We start from the raw sequence: 20,292 nt of genomic DNA, 5'->3' as shown, positions 1-20,292 counted from the left end.
ATTAAATGGAAAAAAAATCAAGCAATTCGCTTTATATTACAATTCTTTCAGTAAAGACGATTTATTCAACCATGCTTAAAAAAATCTGTCATGAGAAAGAAATTTATAATAATAAATTCAATAAATATAAAGATATTGCTAATAACAGACTTACTTTAAAAGTAATTCTATTTAAACCTGAGGTTGTGTGTAAACATTTTAAAATGTTATTCAAGGGCCGGGGGCGGTGGCTCACGCCTGTAATCCCAGCACTTTGGGAGGCCGAGGCAGGCGGATCACAAGGTCAGGAGATCGAGACCATCCTGGCTGAAACGGTGAAACTCCGTCTCTAATAAAAATACAAAAAATTAGCTGGGCATGGTGGCATGCGCCTGTAGACCCAGCTACTTGGGAGGCTGAGGCAGGAGAATCACTGGAACCTGGGAGGCGGAGGTTGCAGTAAGCCGAGATCGCGCCACTGCACTCCAGCCTGGGCAACAGAGCTAGTCTCAGTCTCAAAAAAAAAAAAAAAAAAAAAAAAAAAGCAAAGAAAAAACAGTTATTCACTTAAGGTGGGATCTCAGAGATGTATGTCAAAGAAAGAGAACCTATAAGGCTACTCTAAAATATGAAAGTTAAAAAAATAAGACTATAAATTTTCTACTTTGGAAATAATATAAAATTCATTCAATACTAATGAAAAGTTTCTTTTATGTGGGCACTGTATTTATAAACGTCAGAGTAAAACCACAAAGGTACTCTGCCTCCTCCCACTCAAGGTCAGTTCTGAAATTATTTGGAAGGCTTGGTATAGCAGTAACCTTGGTGATAAAGAAAGGAAAGATGTGAAACACTTTAGAATACACATGATACACCAGAATAGAAAGGCTAATTTCTGGATAGACCAGGATCTTGGTCTATCTCTCCATTAAAAAAAAAAAAAAAAGTTGGGGACAGCCTTTTACTTTTAGCAACTGCGGCACTCACATTTATATTTTCCTGATCCTCAATTCCTCTCCAAAGATGGGGCTAATTTTTCACTGACCTCTATGTCCAAAATATTTGAGAGCTAAAAGGAATTAAGACAGTACAATCCCCTCATTTTTACAGATGAGAGAACTGAAGCTATGTACTTATGCAGTATTTACTAAGCCATAGTGAGGAGTACAAAGATAAAACTTCGGTAAAACTTTGTCCTTGCCTTAAGGAAGCTTATGAATCATTGGAATTAAGTCATATACAGGGATAACAATAATACAATTGGCTTACTTTATCTTAAAGGTTAAAAAATTAATCTGTGAGCAAGCCAGAAGTAGAATTCAAGCCTCCCAGTTTGCAGCCCACTGTCTTTTTCTCTTTGTCACAGGGTTTCAGAAAGAGTGGAACTTCAAAGTCAAGATTTACACTTGGGAAGAAACTTACATGCTGAAACTTTATTGACAAGCTAGTCACTTAAAATTTCTATAATACAAGATGACTTTATCATATGAAAAGCTATTAGTAAAGAGAATGATTATTGTTAGTGATGACAACAATAGTAATTATTATTATTAACATTCTTTTTGACCACTTATTTTATGCCACATACTTTACACAGATAACCTTTCATAACAACCCTGTGCTAAAGGAGTCATTACCATCTGCATTTTACAGTAAAGGAAACAAAGACTATCCAGAGTCATGCAATGAGGGAGTGGCAGAATAGAAATATGAACTCAAGCTCTCCGACAGCAAAGCCTGAGCTCTAAACCATTGGTTCTCTTGAATAATATGTAAGAGCATCCAGGTTCTGATCGCCTAGATTCCAGGTAAGTTGGGTTTGATGTTGTGAATGGCCTCAGAAACAGAGCTTTGATGGAATCTTGCTCAGACAGAGTTGAGGAAATCGGATATAAAGTAAAAGGTTAATTTTCACAAGAAAATATTCCCAACTTATAAATGTTTAGGAAACTACTACCTAAAGATCAATTCTTTAACGTAACTTCAATATTTACTGAAAGCTTGTATGCCAGGCACAATATTAAGTACTGTTGATACACAGATAAATTTTCTATAAACTGTCTACCTTAGGCATTTATGCTAGGCATGAAAGAGGACAATATAAGACCTATGAGCTAACATCTTTTAAAAAATCTAGTCAGCTAAAACATCTACACACAAACATTTCAATAATATTATTAAGAGTTAATTAGAAACACATATTCACAGGTCTGTATATAATTAATTTCCATAAGTGGAACAGCCAAAAAAACCCCTCAAGTACAGAAGATTTAGAGATCACCATGGGCTGGAGAAACTTTAGGGAAAGGCAGGAATATAAACAGGATCTTCCTTTAAGGATGCACAGGATTTAGAAGAAATATGGAAGACAGGACAAGTATTCCATAAGAAAAAAAAAATAATGTGGACAAGGATACCAGGCAAGAAAATAGAATATTAATATAATATAATAAATATAAATATTCAAGAAAATATAACACATGTTTCAAGGGAAAAATGAAACAATGTGAGTAGAATAAAGGTTTTGCATATGGACAACATGGTTGAAAGGGCAGGAAGAAGCAAAACTAAAGGGATAACTTTATTATACATAGCCACAATAAAATATTTTAAAGTCACTTTTATACTTTGACAAATATACCGTACAAAAAGAGAAGAAATTAAAAAATTCCTAGTGAGGTTTATAAATTTTTTCTGTAATATATATTTTTTTGCTACTAAAAAAGGTTTGAAAAAGTTGCTTCGGACAGGAGGAAGCAATTTTATTTAAAAGGCTTTAGCTAGAATGACATGAATAAATAACTATGAATGAATAACTCTTAAAATCAAGTAAGAGTAAGGATGGAGGAAGAGATTAAAGCTATAGGATAAGACTAAAACTGATGGTACAAATGTGAGCTAAAGCCTAAACTAAGGGAGCTCACAAGCACACACTGATAGGTGGTTTGAAGTAACAGAAATGTCAACGATACTACCTTGAGCAATCTTATCCACCCACAACAGGACCAGCTGGTTTCAAAAACAAATGAACACTATTTCTGACGGCTGAGGATTTTTGACATAATAGGTGAGAAAATCTGGAAGAAGGCTACACCCATGATTGCAACTGTGTTCTACTCCTCCTTGAGGTTTAGTCATGCTCCATGACTAGATCAGCAACTTATAAGTAACCATGCAGCAAACCCTGAAGATTAAAAAAAAGAGAGCACAAGCTAATTTGGCCTTGTTAGTTTATTTCACAGAGAGGAACAGTTGATGACTATATTTGGCTGTCAGTTGAGGTTTAGTTGATCCTGGGCTTTGCCCAGATATCCTACAATCACATGTAGGATGTGACTATCCTAATTTTGATTAAGTTTAATGCTATGCAGTGTGGGCGCCTTGATGAAATGAAGTGATGCTTTAGGCAGATTATTCATCTGTGACTTAGTGTGGTGCTATGGTTTGTCACTCTAATTATTTTTTAAATGATCAATTTTGTACTATCTGGCTTGCCTTCTGCATTAAGAAGTGATTTACCCAAGCTGAAAGAGCTAGTAAGTGGCAGAGACAGAACTGAAGATCAGACATTGGTATAAGTCCAGTGGTCTTCAAACAATAGGCTGATTTCAAAATTATAGCTGGTATAGTCTGGCACAGACCTAGTGTTGTTTTATCAGTCAAAATGTTTCCACAGCTACTATGATGAAGCCCATATTTCTCTATTTGTTCACACCAACATGAGATGTCTGTCCTGTATCTTAGTATAATCCAATCATATCAGCTCTAGGGCATTCTTCTTGATCCCGCTATCTTTTGCTGAATCTTGGTAAATACCATTGCTATATTCAATTGTAATGGGTATTCAATTCTCAGAAATCTATGAGGAATCTATCCTTAAAGAAAATTAATCAATTTACAGTCAACTTGTTCAGGTTTTCCTATATAGATTTCCTTAGTTTGTAGAAACTAAGTATACTGTAGATGTGAAGTTTCTCAACTGATATTTGTAATTCAGATATAAGTATTGTGTATTTTTAGACAAGGCTGGGAGGCTGGGAGCTGCAGGATAGGGTGGAACAGCACAGTTAAAAGCTAAATTAAAAACAAATTCACTCAATTTAATTTTTGACTGAAAAATGCCAAACAACCAATCTAGGTTTTTAACAAACATTTTGAAGATCCAGCTCTAACTTCCTTGTTTGAAAAGTAGAAAGCATAATTTTAATTTTTCACAGAAATAAGGTTGGTTTTCCCAGATTAATATCCTTATCTTGCTTCCTTGTAGAGTACCACAAGAGGCTGAAATGTCATATTGTATTTTTGCAACTACCCCAGTGGAAACACCCTATTATATGGTAAGCAGATGATGGTAAGCAGGGAGTGTCATGTTCCCAGATGATGTTTTAAACATGAAAAAATACAAGAGCTATTATCTTTCCTTCACCTGTACTTCCTTTTCCTTTCCTTACTCAGGATAAAGAGTCTAAATATAGCCAAATAATAAAGTTACTATTTATTCAAAATTTTACCCACTCTGGAGGGTCAAACTTAACTTTTACTTTCCCCACAGGCCCATTTCATTTTCACAATCAACAAAGATTTTTCTATAACAGAATGTTTATATTCTGTAAACATTATCTTTGCCACAGGAGACTATTCTCAAATTCTTTCATGTGTTAGTCTTACCTCTCCATCAAGAACATAAGCTCAAGGATATGCATTAAACTTTTAGATCGCTGTAATCCTTAACTGACCACAATGTTTAATAAATATATCGATGTAAAAATACTGAATACCAACTATATTCAGGCCACCATGCTAAGCAGGGATTATATCTAACTACAGGAATAAATTTGAAACAATTGGAAAGACATAGGAAAGAAAAATGACAGTTACACAGTAGATATATTTAGGAACGTCTATGGCCCAGAGAATAGTGGAAAGTCTAATTCAGGTAAAAGCAGTGAACTTAATAAATTTTAGAAATGTTGTGATGGGGCCGGGCGCAGTGGCTCACGCCTGTAATCCCAGCACGTTGGGAGGCCGAGGCAGGTGGATCACTTGAGGCCAGGAATTCAAGACATGCCTGGCCAACATGGCAAAACCTAATCTCTACCAAAAATACAAAAATTAGCCAGGTGTGGTGGTGCGGGCTTGTAATCCCAGCTACTGAGGAGGCTGAGGCACCAGAGTCACTTGAACCCAGGAGGCAGAGGTTGCAGCGAGCCAAGATTGTGCCACTGCACTCCAGTTTGGCCGACAGAGGGCGACTATGTCTCAAAAAAAGAAAAGAAAAGAAAAGAAAAATTGCGCTGGTATTTTCTCTCTCAGAAAGCAGAGGAAACACTAAATCCAATCCCAACTTAACAGAGGGGAACTACTTTATAAAGTAGAAGGGATGAAAAGTTTGTAAGAAAGCAATCGTGACATCTTAGTGTTGGCGATGCTAAGAAAGGAACACCGAGCATAGTTAGATATATGCTTTCAGAGTTCTGAGAAACGATACGTTGGATCATGAAAGAAAGATTTTAGGCCAGGCTTGGTGGCTCACGCCTGTAATCCCAGCACTTTGGGAGGCCGAGGCGGGCGGATCACATGAGGTCAGAAGTTTGAGACCAGCCTGGCCAACGTGGTAAAACCTGGTCTCTACCAAAAATAAAAAAATTGGCTGGGTGTGGTGGCATGCGCCTGTAGTCCTAGCTACTCGGGAGGCTGAGGCAGGAGAACTGCTTGAACCCGGGAGGTGGAGATGGCAGTGAGCCAAGACTGCACCACTGCACTCCAGCCTGGCAGAGGGAGACTCCGTCTCGAAAAAAAAAGAAAAAAAAAAGGAAGATGATTTTGGAAGGCTGCAAGCTCATAGGTGAAATGATTACATTCAAACATAAATGACTACCTCCTGTTAGCTGCCTTATAAAAATCTGAAGGCATGGTAAAAGAAATCTATCACCAAAAGGCATGTTAGTTGCCCTCTCCACTTGATCACATTACATCTCTACTGTGCAAAGAACTGGGCTAATCATAAGAAATTACAGTCTAATTTTGATTAGAGCCCTAATGCTTCAAGCAGAAAAAGCATTACTCTTGCTAAGTTACTATAACCTGCTCAGTGTTCATCAATGTCATTACCACAATTTTTATCTTGCAATGTAACTAGAAAACAAAGTACTGAATGGAAGCTATCCTGGCTCACCTGGCAAAAATACAGTGTATACACACACACACACACACACACACACACACACAGAGTGTGTGTATATTCCAGCAAATAATATTACATATAAAAGATCTAATTGGTTCATCATGTAAATTTAGTAGGAACATTACAACGATGCTACAAGAATTTATCCAAAACTGAGATTTCCTTAGAATATCTGTTAAAAGTAATTTTATTCAGTTAATAGAAATTCTATTGAAAACATCAAACTTATAAAGCTATATATCCTGTTCATATTTGAATGTTTTGTAAATATGGATTATTCTTATAATCAAGAAAAAAATTAAACAGTATGAAGACTTCTTAAAGTATGTTTAAAAGTACAACTATATTACAGTATTAAGTCAACAGTTTTAGGGAGATAATTCACTAAATCTAAAATTATAAAGGTTAATAGGATTGCATTGTTCTTAAACATCATTAAATAAAGAAAACCACTTTTTATTATACATTTATTGTTCTGAAGTATTCTGAATTTTCAGATCAGACACATATCAATCAAAATATATACAAAAACAAATCAAAATAATGTTTTAGATAATCCATACTACCAATCTTTAAACCGTTTATAATCAACCAACAAGTGCTTATTGAGTATTATAAAATCACATCCAAGTAGTATCAATCGACATGCTAAAATTGAATATATAGAGGACCTTTAAAAATAGGCAGTAGCCCTGTCCTAGACAATATAATTTGTGTGATCAGGAGCTTAGTTGAAATCTTCCAAATACAGTACTGAGCACAGTTTTATACAAGTATTTTAAAACTGTACTAAAGTTTGTACTATAAATGTCTACATGTTTATAGGAGGAATATTTAAGAAATATTTCTTTTCTCCTTTATGATACCTTCATTAAAATACGGTTCCTGCCGCCATAGACCTAATTGTAAAAGTCAAAACTATAAAACTTGTAAGAGAAAATCTTTGCAACTCTGGGGTAGGCAAATGTTTCTCAAAAGGACATACAGAACATAAATTATTAAAGAAAAAAACAGTCAACTGGATTTGATGAAATCAAAAGCTTTTGTTCACAAGACACACTGTTTTTTGGGGTTTTTTTTGAGACAGGGTCTCGTTCTTTCTCCCAGGCTGGAGTGCAGTGGTATCATGGCTCACTGCAGCCTTGGCCACCTGGGCTCAAGCGATCCTCCTATCTCAGCCTCTCAAATAGCTGGGACCACAGGCATAGGCCACCATGCACGGATAATTTTTGTATTTTTTTTGTAGTGACGGAGTTTTGTCATGTTGCCCAGGCTGGTCTCAAACTCCTGGGCTCAAGCCATCTGCTCACCTCATCCTCCCAAAGTGCTGGGATTACAGGTGTGAGCCACTACGCCTGGTCTGAGACACATCATTAAGAAAATAAAGGGAAATCAGACTGGAAGAAAATATTTGCAAAATTCACATTTGATAATGCACATATAGAGAACTCTTACAACTCAATAATGAAACAAAACCAACATGTAAAAAACCTTAATTTAAAAAAGGGCAAAATACTATCCCTGATGAACATCAATGCAAAAATCCTCAATAAAATACTGGCAAATCGAAGCCAGCAGCACGTCAAAAAGTTTATTCACTACAATCAAGTTGGCTTCATCCCTGAGTTGCAAGATTGGTTCAACATACACAAATCAGTAATGTAATTCATCACATAAACAGAACTAAAGACAAAAACCACATGATTATCTCAATAGATACAGAAAAGGCCTTTGATAAAATTCAACATTCCTTTATGTTAAAAACTCTCAATATACTAGGTAATGAAAGAACATACCTCAAAATAATAAGAGCCATATATGACAAACCCACAGCCAATATCATACTGAATGGGCAAAAGCTGGAAGCAATCCCCTTGAAAACTGGCACAAGACAAGGATGCCCTCTCTCCCCACTCCTATTCAACATGGTATTGGAAGTTCTGGCCAGGGATCATGCAAGAGGAAGAAATAAAGGGTATTCAAATAGGAGGCGAGGAAGTTAAATTGTCTTTGCAGATGACACAATCCTGTATCTAGAAAACCCCACTGTCTCAGCCCAAAAGCTTCTTAAGCTGATAGGCAACTACAGCAAAGTCTCAGGATACAAAATTAATGTGCAAATATCACAGGGATTCCTACACACCAACAACAGACAAGCAGAGAGCTAAATCATGAATGAACTCCCATTCATAAATGCTATGAAGAGAATAAAATACCTAGGAACGCAGCTAACAAAGGAAGTGAAGCACCTCTTCAAGGAGAACTACAAACCACTGTTAAAGGAAATAGAGAGAACACAATAAATGGATGCTCATGGATAAGAAGAATCAATATCATGAAAATGGCTATACTGCCCAAAGTAATTTATAGATTCAATGCTATTCCCATTTAACTACCATTGACATTCTTCATAGAATTAGAAAAAACTTTTAAAATTCATATGGAACCAAAAAAGAGCCCGTATAGCCAAGACAATCCTCAGCAAAAAGAACAAAGCTGGAGACATCATGCTACCTCACTTCAGACTATACTACAAGGTTACAGTAACCAAAACAGCATGGTACTGGTACAAAAACAGACACGGACCAACAGAACAGAAGAGAGCATTCAGAAATAAGACTGGATACTTACAACCATCTGATCTTTGACATACATGACAAAAACAAGCAAAGGGGAAAGAATTCCTTATTTAATAAAATGCTGGGAGAACTGGCTAGCCATATGCAGAAAATCGACACTGGACTCCTTCCTTACAACTTATACAAAAATTAACTCAAGGTGGATTAAAGACTTAAATGTAGAACCCAAAACTATGAAAACCCTTGAAGAAAATCTAGGCAATACCATTCAGGACATAGGCACGGGCAAATATTTCATGCCAAAAATGCCAAAAGCAATTGCAACAAAAGCAAAAATTGGCAAATGGGATCTAATTAAACTTAAGAGCTTCTGCACAGCAAAATAAACTATCAGAGTGAACAGACAACCTACAGAATGGGAGAAAATGTTTGCAACCTATACATCTGATAAAGGTCTAACATCCAGAGTCTACAAGGAATTTAAACAAATTTACAAGAAAAAACAATCCCATTAAAAAGTGGGCAAAGGACACGAATGGACATTTCTCAAAAGAAGACATTCATGCGGCAACAAGCATATGAAAAAAGGCTCAACATCACTGATCATTAGAGAAATGCAAATCAAAACCACAATGAAATACCATCTTAGGCCAGTCAGAATGGTGATTATTAAAAAGTCAAGAAACAACAGATGCTGGAGAGGTTGCAGAGAAATAGGAACACTTTTACACTGTTGCTGGGACTGTAAATTAGTTAAACCATTGTGGAAGACAGCGTGGTGATTCCTCTAAGATCTAGAACCAGAAATACCATTTGACCCAGCAATCCCATTACTGGGTATATGCCCAAAGGAATGTAAATCATTCTATTATAAAGATACAGGCATGTGTATCTTCATTGCAGCACTATTCACAATAGGAAAGACATGGGAATCAACCCAAATGCCCATCAATGAAAGACTGGATAAAGAAAATGTGATACATGCACACCATGGAATACTATGCAGCCAGCCATAAAAAGCAACAGGATCATGTCCTTTGCAGGCACATAGATGGAGCTGGAAGCCATTATCCTCAGCAAACTAACACAGAAACAGAAAACCAAACACCGTATGTTCTCATATATAAGTAGGAGCTGAACAGTGAGAACACATGGACATGGTGGGTGAGGGGGAGAGTATCAGGAAAAATAGCTAATGCGTGCTGGGCATAATACCTAGGTGATGGGTTAATCTGTGCAGAAAACCACCATGACACATGTCTACCTATGTCACCAATCTGCACACCCTGCACATGTACCCTGGAAGTTGAAGGTGAAAAAAACGGTGCAAAAGATTGAATAGGCATTTCATAAAAAATATACTAAGCAAAAGGCACAGGAAAAGGACCTCAGAATCATTAGTCATCAGGGAAATAGAAATTAAAGCCACAATGAGACACTGCTACATTCTCACTAAAATGACAGATTAAAAAGCCCAAAAATACCAAATGTTTAGGAGATGTACAGAAACTGGAACTCTTGTACATTGGTGGTGGAAATTTTAAATGGTCCATTTTGGAAAACAGTTTGGCAGTTTCTCATAAAGACGTAAATGGGAGCTTTCTTTACAATAACACAAAACTGGAAAAAACACAAATGTCTTAAAAGACACAAATTTTTTATCCCCCCCTTTTGGGGATAAAACCAAAAAGGAATGATCTAGAAATACACACAAAGACATAGATGACTTTTAAAAACATGCTGAAGGCAGATACACAAAAAAATACGTTCTATGATTCTATTTATATCGAATTTTAGAACAGGCAAAACTTATCTAAAGACGTAGTTCTCAACTGGGGCAATTATGCCCTCCCCTTCCCTGGGCAATGCTGGAGACATTTTTGGTGGTCATAACTGGGGTGGCATAGGTATGGGGGTGGTTGCTAAAGGCATCTGGTGGGTAGAGGTCAGGGATGCTGTTAAACATTTTATAATACACAGGCCAGCAGCCACGGCAAAGCATTACCAGGCCCAAAATGTTGAAAGTACCCAGGCCCAGGTTGAGAAATTCTGTTCTAAGTGATCAGTGGTGGTCTAGATGGAAGTAAGGATATTGAATGAAGGAATTCTGGGGATAATAAAAATGTTCTGTATTTTATTTTATTTACTTTTATTTATTTATTTATTTTTGAGATGGAGTCTTGCTCTGTCGCCCAGGCTGGACTGCAGTGGTGGGATCTCGGCTCACTGTAACCTCTGCCTCCTGGGTTCAAGCAATTCTCCTGCCTCAGTCTCCCGTGTAGCTGGGATTACAGGTGCCCACCACCACGCCTAGCTAATTTTTGTATTTTTAGTAGAGAAGGGGTTTCACCATGTTGGCCAGGCTGGTCTCGAAATCCTGACCTCGTGATCTGGCTGCCTCATCCTCCCAAAGTGTTGGGATTACGGGCGTGAGCCACTGCACCCTGCCGATGTTCTGTATTTTAATTGTGGTAGTGACTGATTTGTCAAAACTCACCAAACTGCACACACTTAAAACGTGTAAATTTTACTGTATGCAAATTTTACATCCAAGTTGATGCTAAAAAGTATAGTGCCTGTATAAGACTATGTTAAACAGTTTAATCCATTTTTTGTTTTTTAAAACACATGCACAGAAAAGACAGGTAAGGCAACTACCATTAAAGACAGGAAAAGCAAATACCATTGGTGGGATTATGGATAATTTTGAATTTTTTGTCCTGTTGTTCATTTGCTTAGTATTAAGTAAAAATTTAATAAACTTGATGTGTACACACACACATAGAGACAAACACAAACACTTATATATCCAGTACCTAAAACAGGTACAAATAAATGAGGATAATAGAAAAGCACAGGTGCACATGAATATTTAATTGTGATATTTGATCATAAGACTCTAGTTATTTCAAGAAAGTATAAAAATGTATAATGCAAAGGCACTTAGAAGTAAGGTTTTACTCTAAAACACTGCTAAACTATTTAATGAGCTCAATTATAATTCTTTCAATACAAAAAGTTTGCAAGGAGGAATTTTCACTAGAAACAATGCTATGATAGCCCTAATAAGACAGGGTGAAAAGGTCAAGAAATTCTTTAAAATTAAATGAATAAAGTTACCAACTAAGGAATAATCCATTTCACTGTATTAATACGGTTGAAAACACAGCAGATACAATTCAGTTATGTTCATCAACAGCCAGGGACTGAGCAAAGTGTGAGAAATTTATTATAAAAATGTCTCTGAAGAACTGACCAATGGAGAAAAATGGTATTGTCAACAATCACATACAAACGGGCTAAAGGCTATGATGGAGGTTTGAAAGTGTTAACAATGAAAGAAACCAAGCAACTACCTAAGCCTGGAGGAAGCATGTACAAAGGTGACATCTTAGCTAGACCTTGTCTGGTGAAAAATCATGAGATAATTTAGAAATCTTAGAAATAACACAAAAACCAAAAAAAAAAAACAACAAAAAAAAAAAACAAAAAAAGACCCACCACCACACATAACAATTTTGTTACACTACTGTCTCATTTTATAGTCTTAAAGGTCAGCAATGAGAAAATCTTTTCCCGAAAAAGAAGATTATCCTACATATTGGGTAAGGAAATTATAACTACTGAGAAAATCCCATATCCAAGGGGGAAATATATTTAAGATTCACCTTGATAGAAAATGCACTCCCTAAGCTTCCACCACGTCTACGTTTGGCAATTTAAGTCTCTGGCACTATTCAAAAGCATAGTGATTAAAAAAAAATCAATTAGGCTGCAGTTTAAAAATTCTATATGAATACTTGTTAATATAGAATTAATATATGGCCTCATACTAAAACATCTCCATACATTAGTAAGGGAATATTTAAGATACCTCCCAAAAGGGAGACACTGGGAATCCTACATACAGTACACTACATCTTTGACAGTAAGTTTTCAAGCCATAAGAGATGCTTACGAATATATGGGGTAAACGATTACTCTATGCTGCTAAAAATCATTCCAAGGTAAAAAGGTCAATTCCTATCTAATGCAAAGAGAAAAGCCTGCAAGGTGGTGGGATGGTGAGACAGACTGCTGGTAGAACCTGTCTGCCTTGCTCCTTGGATTTCCTGTAATTTTGGACATTACTTAAATTAAGGCATTGAAACTGAATTACATCAACTTTATCTCAACAGAACAAATTTTGTGCAGCAGAAAACCCAATTTTGGCGGTGAAAAAGTCGTCCCAAAGACAAAGGGTCTTAAGTACATCTGACTTTTCGGAGACAGCAGCAGTGTGTCCTATTCTTTCTCTCCTGGCTCAGACTCAAAGAACTACTGCAGGCAATTCAGGTAACACTATTTCCTGGTAGTGTGATTCAGGTAACTGGAGAAAAAGGAAAATGCTTAAAGCAATAAACTAGTATAAAAGGGAACCTTCTGGAGTCCCGTAATAGCCAGTGAACTAGAAACTCTTGATATTTTATAGATACTGACACCAGTAGGGGAGCCAGGAGCCAAGTGCAACACCAGCCAAGGGTTGGAAGCAGGCAGAGAGAACAGTCATTGCCTGATCCTCTTGCTTCCACCGCAAAAGAGCGCCCCCACCCCAATACTCTCGTTCCTTAAAATGTCCCTATCGGGACCCACGCAGAAATACCCCCTCTCCCCTACAGTAACTCCGTACAATCCCAAATACCCTGCCGGAGTGTGACAGGCTGCGTCCACTTACTGAGCTGTCCCCCGCCCGACGCTGTACTCGGTTCCCGACCTCCAGCGCCCCCAACGCCGGCTGCTCCAGGGACCCCTGGCGCCCCCATCCCCGGCGGGGTTCCACTTTGCCTCTCGAAGTTGCCTGGATTGGAGAAGTAGTCGCGCAGCCGAGGCAGCTCCCGGCCACTCTCTAACAGCTCGGTATGCAGCTCCAGGGCGGTCAGCAAGTATTGATCGCGCAACAGCTGAGCAGCGATCGCATCAATTGATAATCGGGCCGGGGTCTCCCCGGTGCCCCCCAGGGCCACTGCAGCCGCCGACGCCTCCCCAGGGAGCCCTGGCCGCGCACTGCTTCCTAAGGCCACGGGATCCTGTGGCGACAGCGAGCCCGCAGAGCCAGGATCTAGGCCACTTCCGGCGCCCAGCCGAAGTACTGCCCGCCGTTCCTCTGTTGCAGCTACCTCGTCATCGTCCTCATCCGAATCACTGAGAAATGGATTCACGCCGCCACCACTGCCACTACCTCCAGGCGCCATCGCCGCCATCTTATCCTGTCAGGAGTGTGGGCGCCTCCCTGACTGGTTCCGACGGGCCGCAGCCCGAATCCTCTAGGCCTCAGGGGACACAGCGCACCTCCACAGCCCCGGCCTGACCACGTCCTGCCTCCCGACTTAGAGACAAGGAGTACGCTCCAAGGCAGGAGATCCGGATGCAGCTGCACCTGATGCCTCAGCCTCTGCTGCACCAGCAGCCCGGCTCTGCAGGCGTCTTCCTGGTCTCCAGTCTCGCGAGAACTGGAGCGTGCCCCTGCCCCTCTCCCCGATCTAGCCCCGCCCCAGCCCCGCCCCAGCCCACTTCAGCTCCGCCCATTCCCAGCGCCAGATAGCAAAGATTGAAGGCCCCGCTCTCCGCTCAAAAGCAAAACTCCACCCACGACTCCTCCATGATTGGTCAGAGAAGGAAGGCGTGGAGCGGACTGACGGGAGACTGGCCCGAGAATTATCGCGATAGCAGCAGCGGCCGGGCAGGTATTGGGGGCGTTCCGGAATTGAGGGGTGGTTGTAGTGGTGGCTTAGGAATACCCTCCCGGCTATCGCTTCAGTGGGTAGAGGGGACCACTGCCCGAGAGCTTTAATGGAGCTGGGTCCTGCCTTCGCGCTGAGGAGCCCTCGTTTTCGAGATCAGGCCTGACCGGGATAAGCTCCAGGTAAAGTTCAGGGACCAGTGCGCGGAGGGTGTCGGCGCCCAAACTGTGGTGTCGCGCCCGCGGACGCGCTGTTTCCCTACTGCGCTGCACTTTTTCTCGCTATTTGCTGCCAGTGGTGACATTTTGTCCCCATGGATAGCAAGTGCCCAGGCCTGTAGTCGGAATGTGACTTCCTTTCTTTTCCCTTCTCTGCCACATGCTTGCACACTCGGGAGGCCTAGCGACAGCACGACTTCTCAGCCCCGGAGGTGGTCCTGCCTGTGGGTGGGGACGGGGGCTGGAGAGACTAAACGGAAAAGGGAACGCTGAGGTTGGCATTTGCCTGGATCTGGGAACATCGTCGAGTTGGAAAACAAATTGTTAGGTACTCAATAAACGCTTAGGATTTAATACACGATTTACACAACAGGGACCCTTCAGAATATCTAATGCTGTCTCACCAGTAGACAGATAAGTAAACTTAAGCCAAGAGTGGTTGTTATAAAATCAGCTCCACGCCGGGCGCGGTGGCTCACGCCTGTAATCCCAGCACTTTGGGAGGCCGAGCCGGGCGGATCACGAGGTCGGGAGTTCGAGACCAGCCTGACCAACATGGTGAAACCCCTTCTCTACTAAAAACACAAAAATTAGTTGGGCGTGGTGGCGCAAGCCTGCAATCCCAGCTACTCAGGAGGCTGAGGCAGGAGAATCGCTTGAACCCCGGAGGCGAAGATTGCAGTGAGCCGAGGTCGCGCCACTGCACTCCAGCCTGGGCGACAGAACGAGACTCCGTCTCAAAAAAAAAAAAAAAAAAAAAAAAAAATCAATTCCGCTAATAAGGAGTCAAAGGAATTAACATCATTTCTCTTATGTCCCAAACGATTCTTTATCCACTGTCTCCTGCAACATTTCTGACTCGTTCATGCAGGCTAGAATCAAGGTTTTGGAACTTAGAACTATTTTAAAAGTTGAATGCTTCAGAGAGTTTTGATTTTTTTGATGAAATGTTAGCATATAAAGTACATATCCTAAGTTTAGAAGATCAACGTTTATCTTTTATGTCATTCCTTGATTATGATCTGAAAAGGTAAAGGAATTTCCAGTCAATACAATTAGACTGCTATTTCTTATGGCTCCTATTTTTTTCACACACAAATGACCACTTTTCCAGGCTTTAGATTTCCTTTCTTAGTGTACAGGTAAGTGACATATTACATTCAGTGTGTAGTAAACATTCCACAGTAAAGTATCTCCCGTTAGCTCCATGGAAAAATTAAAATAGACGATTCTTACATAACCTTAGGTCAGGTTATTGGTTTACATGTAAAAGTATGCCAACAGTTAAGAGTAGGCTTTAATTTCAATATACCCAGGCTCAATAAACTAAAATTTTCATTTGAATGGGGATTTGGGTTTTTAAAATTTTATTTTTGCTAGAAGTTTAAAAAAAAAGTACCAAGAATTTAAACTATTTTTTTATAGGACATTAGTTCCCAATGTTTTAATGATAAATAGTTTTCTGTGCCATATATTAAAAGTAAAACATGGGGAAAAAAATCCCCCCAAATAGAATTGAAATGGCAAATACTGTATCCTGTTAGAGATTTCTTAGCAAAAGGGATTGCTGATCCGTATTTTAGTTGGATTTTCCAGAGAGATTAAAATGGAACCAATTTCTGGAATCCAGGAATGGAGGATTAGTGAATGGCATGGGAAGGGCATGATTAGAAATGGATTGTTTATATACAATATTTCCATCTCCATGATTGGGAAATTGAGAAATCTCCTGCATTTAGGATTCCTGAAGAGGATTATGCTTATAAGATAGAAAAGCTTAAGTTCAGATCCCAATTCTACTCATTATTTATTGTGAGACCTTGAAAAAGTTACCTAACTTCTCAGCCTCACTTGCATTCGTCTATCAAAGGGGATAAGGAAAGTACACAGAATTGAGAATGTTCTTGTCCCAGTGCCTGGTACCTGCTACACAATAACTATTACTGTGGTCACTTATTAATTATTGAAATATTAGTATGTGTTGAGAACATTTGACAAGTGTTTAAAAATAAAACTAATATCAATCGTTTTGGCAGTGCAAGCCTGAAAAAGCAATTAAGTCAGTAGGGCTGAAGGGAGTATCTTTAATTTGGGGTCTCAGTTCTAAAACACAAGTTGAAAATAGATTTAAAATGTTTCCTCAGAGTTGTAAGAACTTGCATGTAGAGGAATTCTTCCCATACAAATCTGTGGTTTTCTGCTTCTATTTCTGCCTCCTATCCTATAACCATGAACTTGTGTGTTTGATCTTGTAAGCCCATTAGAAATCAACTGCCCAGTCTTCCCAGTATGTACTTTTCTTTTCCACAATACACAGAGGTTTGGTTATTCGTGAATAATGTATAAGTAACACACACTGGAATATTAAAAATTACCGATCACTACTTATAATAATGTATTATTAATAGTGTTGGGAAATTTCCTTTCTACTTAGTAAGATTTTCATTAATCTAGGCCCTTACAACTAATGTTTCATCTGACTAATGATAGTTATTAAAGCTTGTGCCTTAGCAATGAAGATGTAAAAGATGCCTTTTTTCAAAGCACGTCAATCATTTTAGTATTTAAAAAATTATTTTAGGTTTTAATAGTCTTAAAAGAACCACAAGTAATATTCTGAATGCAAGTTTTGGTTGACTTGAGGTTTTAGTAATACCTCATGTTTTATTGTTTTTCAGTGTGTGGTAAACATCCACAGATAAACTAGATAACTTGTATTGGTACATGCATATATCTTTTTAAAATTTTAATAGTTATGTGTTTGTTTTGGAGGTATTTCTTTTTCAATAAATCTGAATAAATTGTGATTTTCTTTAAAGAGAAGTATTAAGTAATATTTAGTATTAAGCAATTAAACTAATTAAAATAAGTAGTTAGTGAATGCTGATATTTTGTAATAACTGCAATTTTATTTACATTAATAGTAAATTACTTTATCATAAAAGGTTTAGTTTTTTTTTTTTTAAAGTATTTTCAGTCTTCACATCTTGTTCTGGAGGAACAAAAACAGAAGCAGGGCATCCTCTAGTGGCTGTAGTGCATATTGCATTTACCCTTGAAATGATAATTCTAAATAATTTATTCAGCAAACATTTGAGTCCTTACTAAGTGCATAAGACTCTGATGGGTGTTGGAGATGCCCCGTCCTGCTGTCATGGAATTGTGGTGAAGTGACAGAGACAGACATTAATTCAAATAGTCGTAGACAAAGCTATGTAATTACAAACTGAAGTAAAAGTTTTCGTTTCTGACTTCACCTGCATAGTCCCTGAGGAAGTGATGCTTGAAATGGAATGTTAGGAGAGAGTGGAAGATAGGTTGCAAGTACATTCTGCAGAGAGGAATTGAGCCTACAAAGGTCTTATAGCAGTGGGATACTTGAATAAAAGAAGGGGCCAGTGATGTGAGATGTTACAAAGTAAAGGGGAGTGCTATGAGACAGGTTTAGAAAAGAAGGCAGAGGCTAGTCTATAAAAGACCTTGTTAGTCACATTAAGGATTTTAGTCTAGATTAGTAGGTGAAAAGGCACTGGAGAGTTTTTTTTTTCCAGCTGTGACTTCATTTTTAAATTTATTTTTTAATATACGATTTTATGTATTCATTGTGTACATGATGTTCTTCAGTTTATATACATTGTGAAATGCTCAAATCTAGCTAAGTAACAAATGCATTACCTTACACATAGTTATCATTTTTGTGATGAGAAATTTGAACATCTACCCTTTTAGCAGTTTTCAAGAATACAATATATCATCATTAACTAGAGTCACCATGCTGTACAACAGAGCTCTTGAACTTATTCCTTCTATCTAACTCTAATATGAATGCTTTGATCAGTATCTCTACAATTGCCCCCCGCTGTGGAACTACCCCAGCCTCTGGTTACCACCATTCTGCTTCTAATTCAGTGGGGTCAACTTTCTTAAGTTCCACATAGGAGTGAAATCATGCAGTATTTGTGTTTCTGCACCTGGCTTATTTCACTTAGCATACCAGGCTTCAGGAACATCCGTGTTGTTGCAAACGTGTCTTTTGACTTTAAAGACAGTGAATGCTTCACAGAAGGCACTGGAGAGTTTTATACAAGGGGTAAGATGTTCAGATTTTCTTTTGAAAAAAGAAAAGCAAGTAATACTCTGGCTACATGGCAAGAAATGGATCAGAGAAGGGTTAGAGTATATAGGGGTGACCTATTCCTGCATTGCAGTAGTTCGCATAAGAGATGGTATACATCTTAAATTATAGAGGTGTCAATGGAGATTAAGACAAATGAACAGATTCAAGAAACACAAAGTGGACAATTGTTAGATTAAATAAAGGGGAAGAATAGGGTGTAAAGAACAATGCCTATTTCTCAGACTTACATACTTGGTGGGAAGGTGGTGCCACCTACTGAGATTGTGAACACTAAGGATTTAGTAGGTAGTAGACAAGGCTCATGGGAAATGTTATGAATTTGGTTTTAAACCTACTTAGTTGAGTGTCTTTGAAACGTCCATGTAGATTTATAAAGGTTCGAGTTACATATGTGGATTTGGAGCTATAATTTGTTGAGGCTTTTGCATATTAGGTAATAACTGAAGCCACAGATATGATGAAACTTGCCAGGATAGAAAGTATAGAGTGAGAAGAAAAGACAGCTGAGGACCAAGTTTTGAGTAACTCCAAAATTTAGTGATCAGATAGAGACTGTTCAACATTGGTCAGAGGTGTAGGTGAAAAATGAAAGCAGTAATGTTCATAGAAGCCAAGTGATAACAGCCTATTAAAAAGGAGAAGGCAGCCGGGCATGGTGGCTCATGCCTGTAATCCCACCACTTTGGGAGGATGAGGTAGGTGGATCACCTGAGGTCAGGAGTTTGAGACCAGCCTGGCCAACATGGTGAAACCCTGTCTCTACTAAAAATACAAAATTACCTGGGCATGATGCTGTGTGCCTGTAATCCCAGCTACTTGGGAGGCTGAGGCAGGAGAATTGCTTGAACCCGGGAGGTGGAGGTTGCAGTGAGCCGAGATCGCGCCACTGCACTCCAGCCTGGGCGATAGATAGGGCGAGACTCTGTCTAAAAAGAAATAAAAATAAAAAGGAGAAGGCGACTGGGCCCAGCAACTCACACCTGTAATCCCAGCACTTTAGGAGGCCGAGGTGAGTAGATGACTTGAGCCCAGGAGTTCAAGACCAGCCTGGGCAACATGGCAAGACCCCCGCTCTACAAAAAATACAAAAATTAGCTGAATGTGGTAAACATGCACCTGTGGTCCCCGCTACTTGGGAAGCTGAGGTGGGAGGATGACTTAGCCCAGGAAGCTTAGGTTGCTTAGAAAATGAAGACTAAAAAATAGCTATTAGATTTTGCACTGTTAACTGTCTTTACTTTCTTATGAAGTAATGACAATAAGGTTTAAGTTGTTTGAGATTTAGGTGGTCAGGAAAAAAAAGAGGTCACATTCAGCCTTTTCAAGAAGTTTGACTGTGTTGGGGAGAAAAGGGCAATAGATGTTTAAAATTTTTTTTATTAATACTGATATTTATGAGATGTATCCTTTTCAGAAATATGGTATTTCATTATGAATAAACAATTTATCTGTTCCCTATGGTTAGATATTGTTT

The 20,292-nt window shown here is 38.8% G+C and overlaps 2 protein-coding genes across 75 annotated transcripts in view, besides 3 other annotated features; one reads left to right on the top strand and one right to left on the bottom strand.

Annotated features, from left to right (window-relative positions):
* RELCH (RAB11 binding and LisH domain, coiled-coil and HEAT repeat containing) overlaps positions 1-14,233 on the bottom strand; it is a 122,995-nt gene extending 108,762 nt beyond the window's left edge. For all 28 annotated transcript variants that reach the window (NR_144408.2, NR_144403.2, NR_144409.2 and 25 more), the window contains exon 1: positions 13,457-14,233. Coding sequence is in view for 17 of the 28 variants with exons in the window: in NM_001346230.2 (NP_001333159.1) it covers positions 13,457-13,982 (526 nt within the window). In the remaining 11 variants the exon portion in view is untranslated. The remainder of the gene's footprint in view (positions 1-13,456) is intronic.
* Positions 13,548-13,767: a silencer, noted in NCBI's record as "silent region_9502". NCBI's record gives its function as "represses an Ori minimal core promoter by ATAC-STARR-seq in GM12878 lymphoblastoid cells {active_cell/tissue: GM12878}" and the evidence as "EXISTENCE:reporter gene assay evidence [ECO:0000049][PMID:35858748]".
* Positions 13,918-14,127: an enhancer, noted in NCBI's record as "active region_13429". NCBI's record gives its function as "activates an Ori minimal core promoter by ATAC-STARR-seq in GM12878 lymphoblastoid cells {active_cell/tissue: GM12878}" and the evidence as "EXISTENCE:reporter gene assay evidence [ECO:0000049][PMID:35858748]".
* PIGN (phosphatidylinositol glycan anchor biosynthesis class N) overlaps positions 14,432-20,292 on the top strand; it is a 169,442-nt gene continuing 163,581 nt past the window's right edge. For 39 of the 47 annotated variants that reach the window (XM_047437461.1, XM_047437431.1, NM_001438910.1 and 36 more), the window contains exon 1: positions 14,432-14,644. The gene's annotated coding sequence lies outside the window, so the exon portion shown is untranslated. The remainder of the gene's footprint in view (positions 14,645-20,292) is intronic. The other 8 variants (XM_047437439.1, XM_011525894.2, XM_047437440.1 and 5 more) reach the window with 1 other exon arrangement.
* Positions 14,718-14,930: a silencer, noted in NCBI's record as "fragment chr18:59853791-59854003 (GRCh37/hg19 assembly coordinates)". NCBI's record gives its function as "represses an EF-1alpha promoter that drives an FKBP-Casp9 reporter gene in an ReSE screen in phorbol 12-myristate 13-acetate-treated (for megakaryocytic differentiation) K562 erythroleukemia cells {active_cell/tissue: K562(+PMA)}" and the evidence as "EXISTENCE:reporter gene assay evidence [ECO:0000049][PMID:32094911]".

This window comes from Homo sapiens, chromosome 18 (genome assembly GCF_000001405.40).
Source record: "Homo sapiens chromosome 18, GRCh38.p14 Primary Assembly".
Lineage (NCBI taxonomy): Eukaryota > Metazoa > Chordata > Mammalia > Primates > Hominidae > Homo > Homo sapiens.
This window is presented reverse-complemented; position numbering and strand designations above follow the sequence as displayed.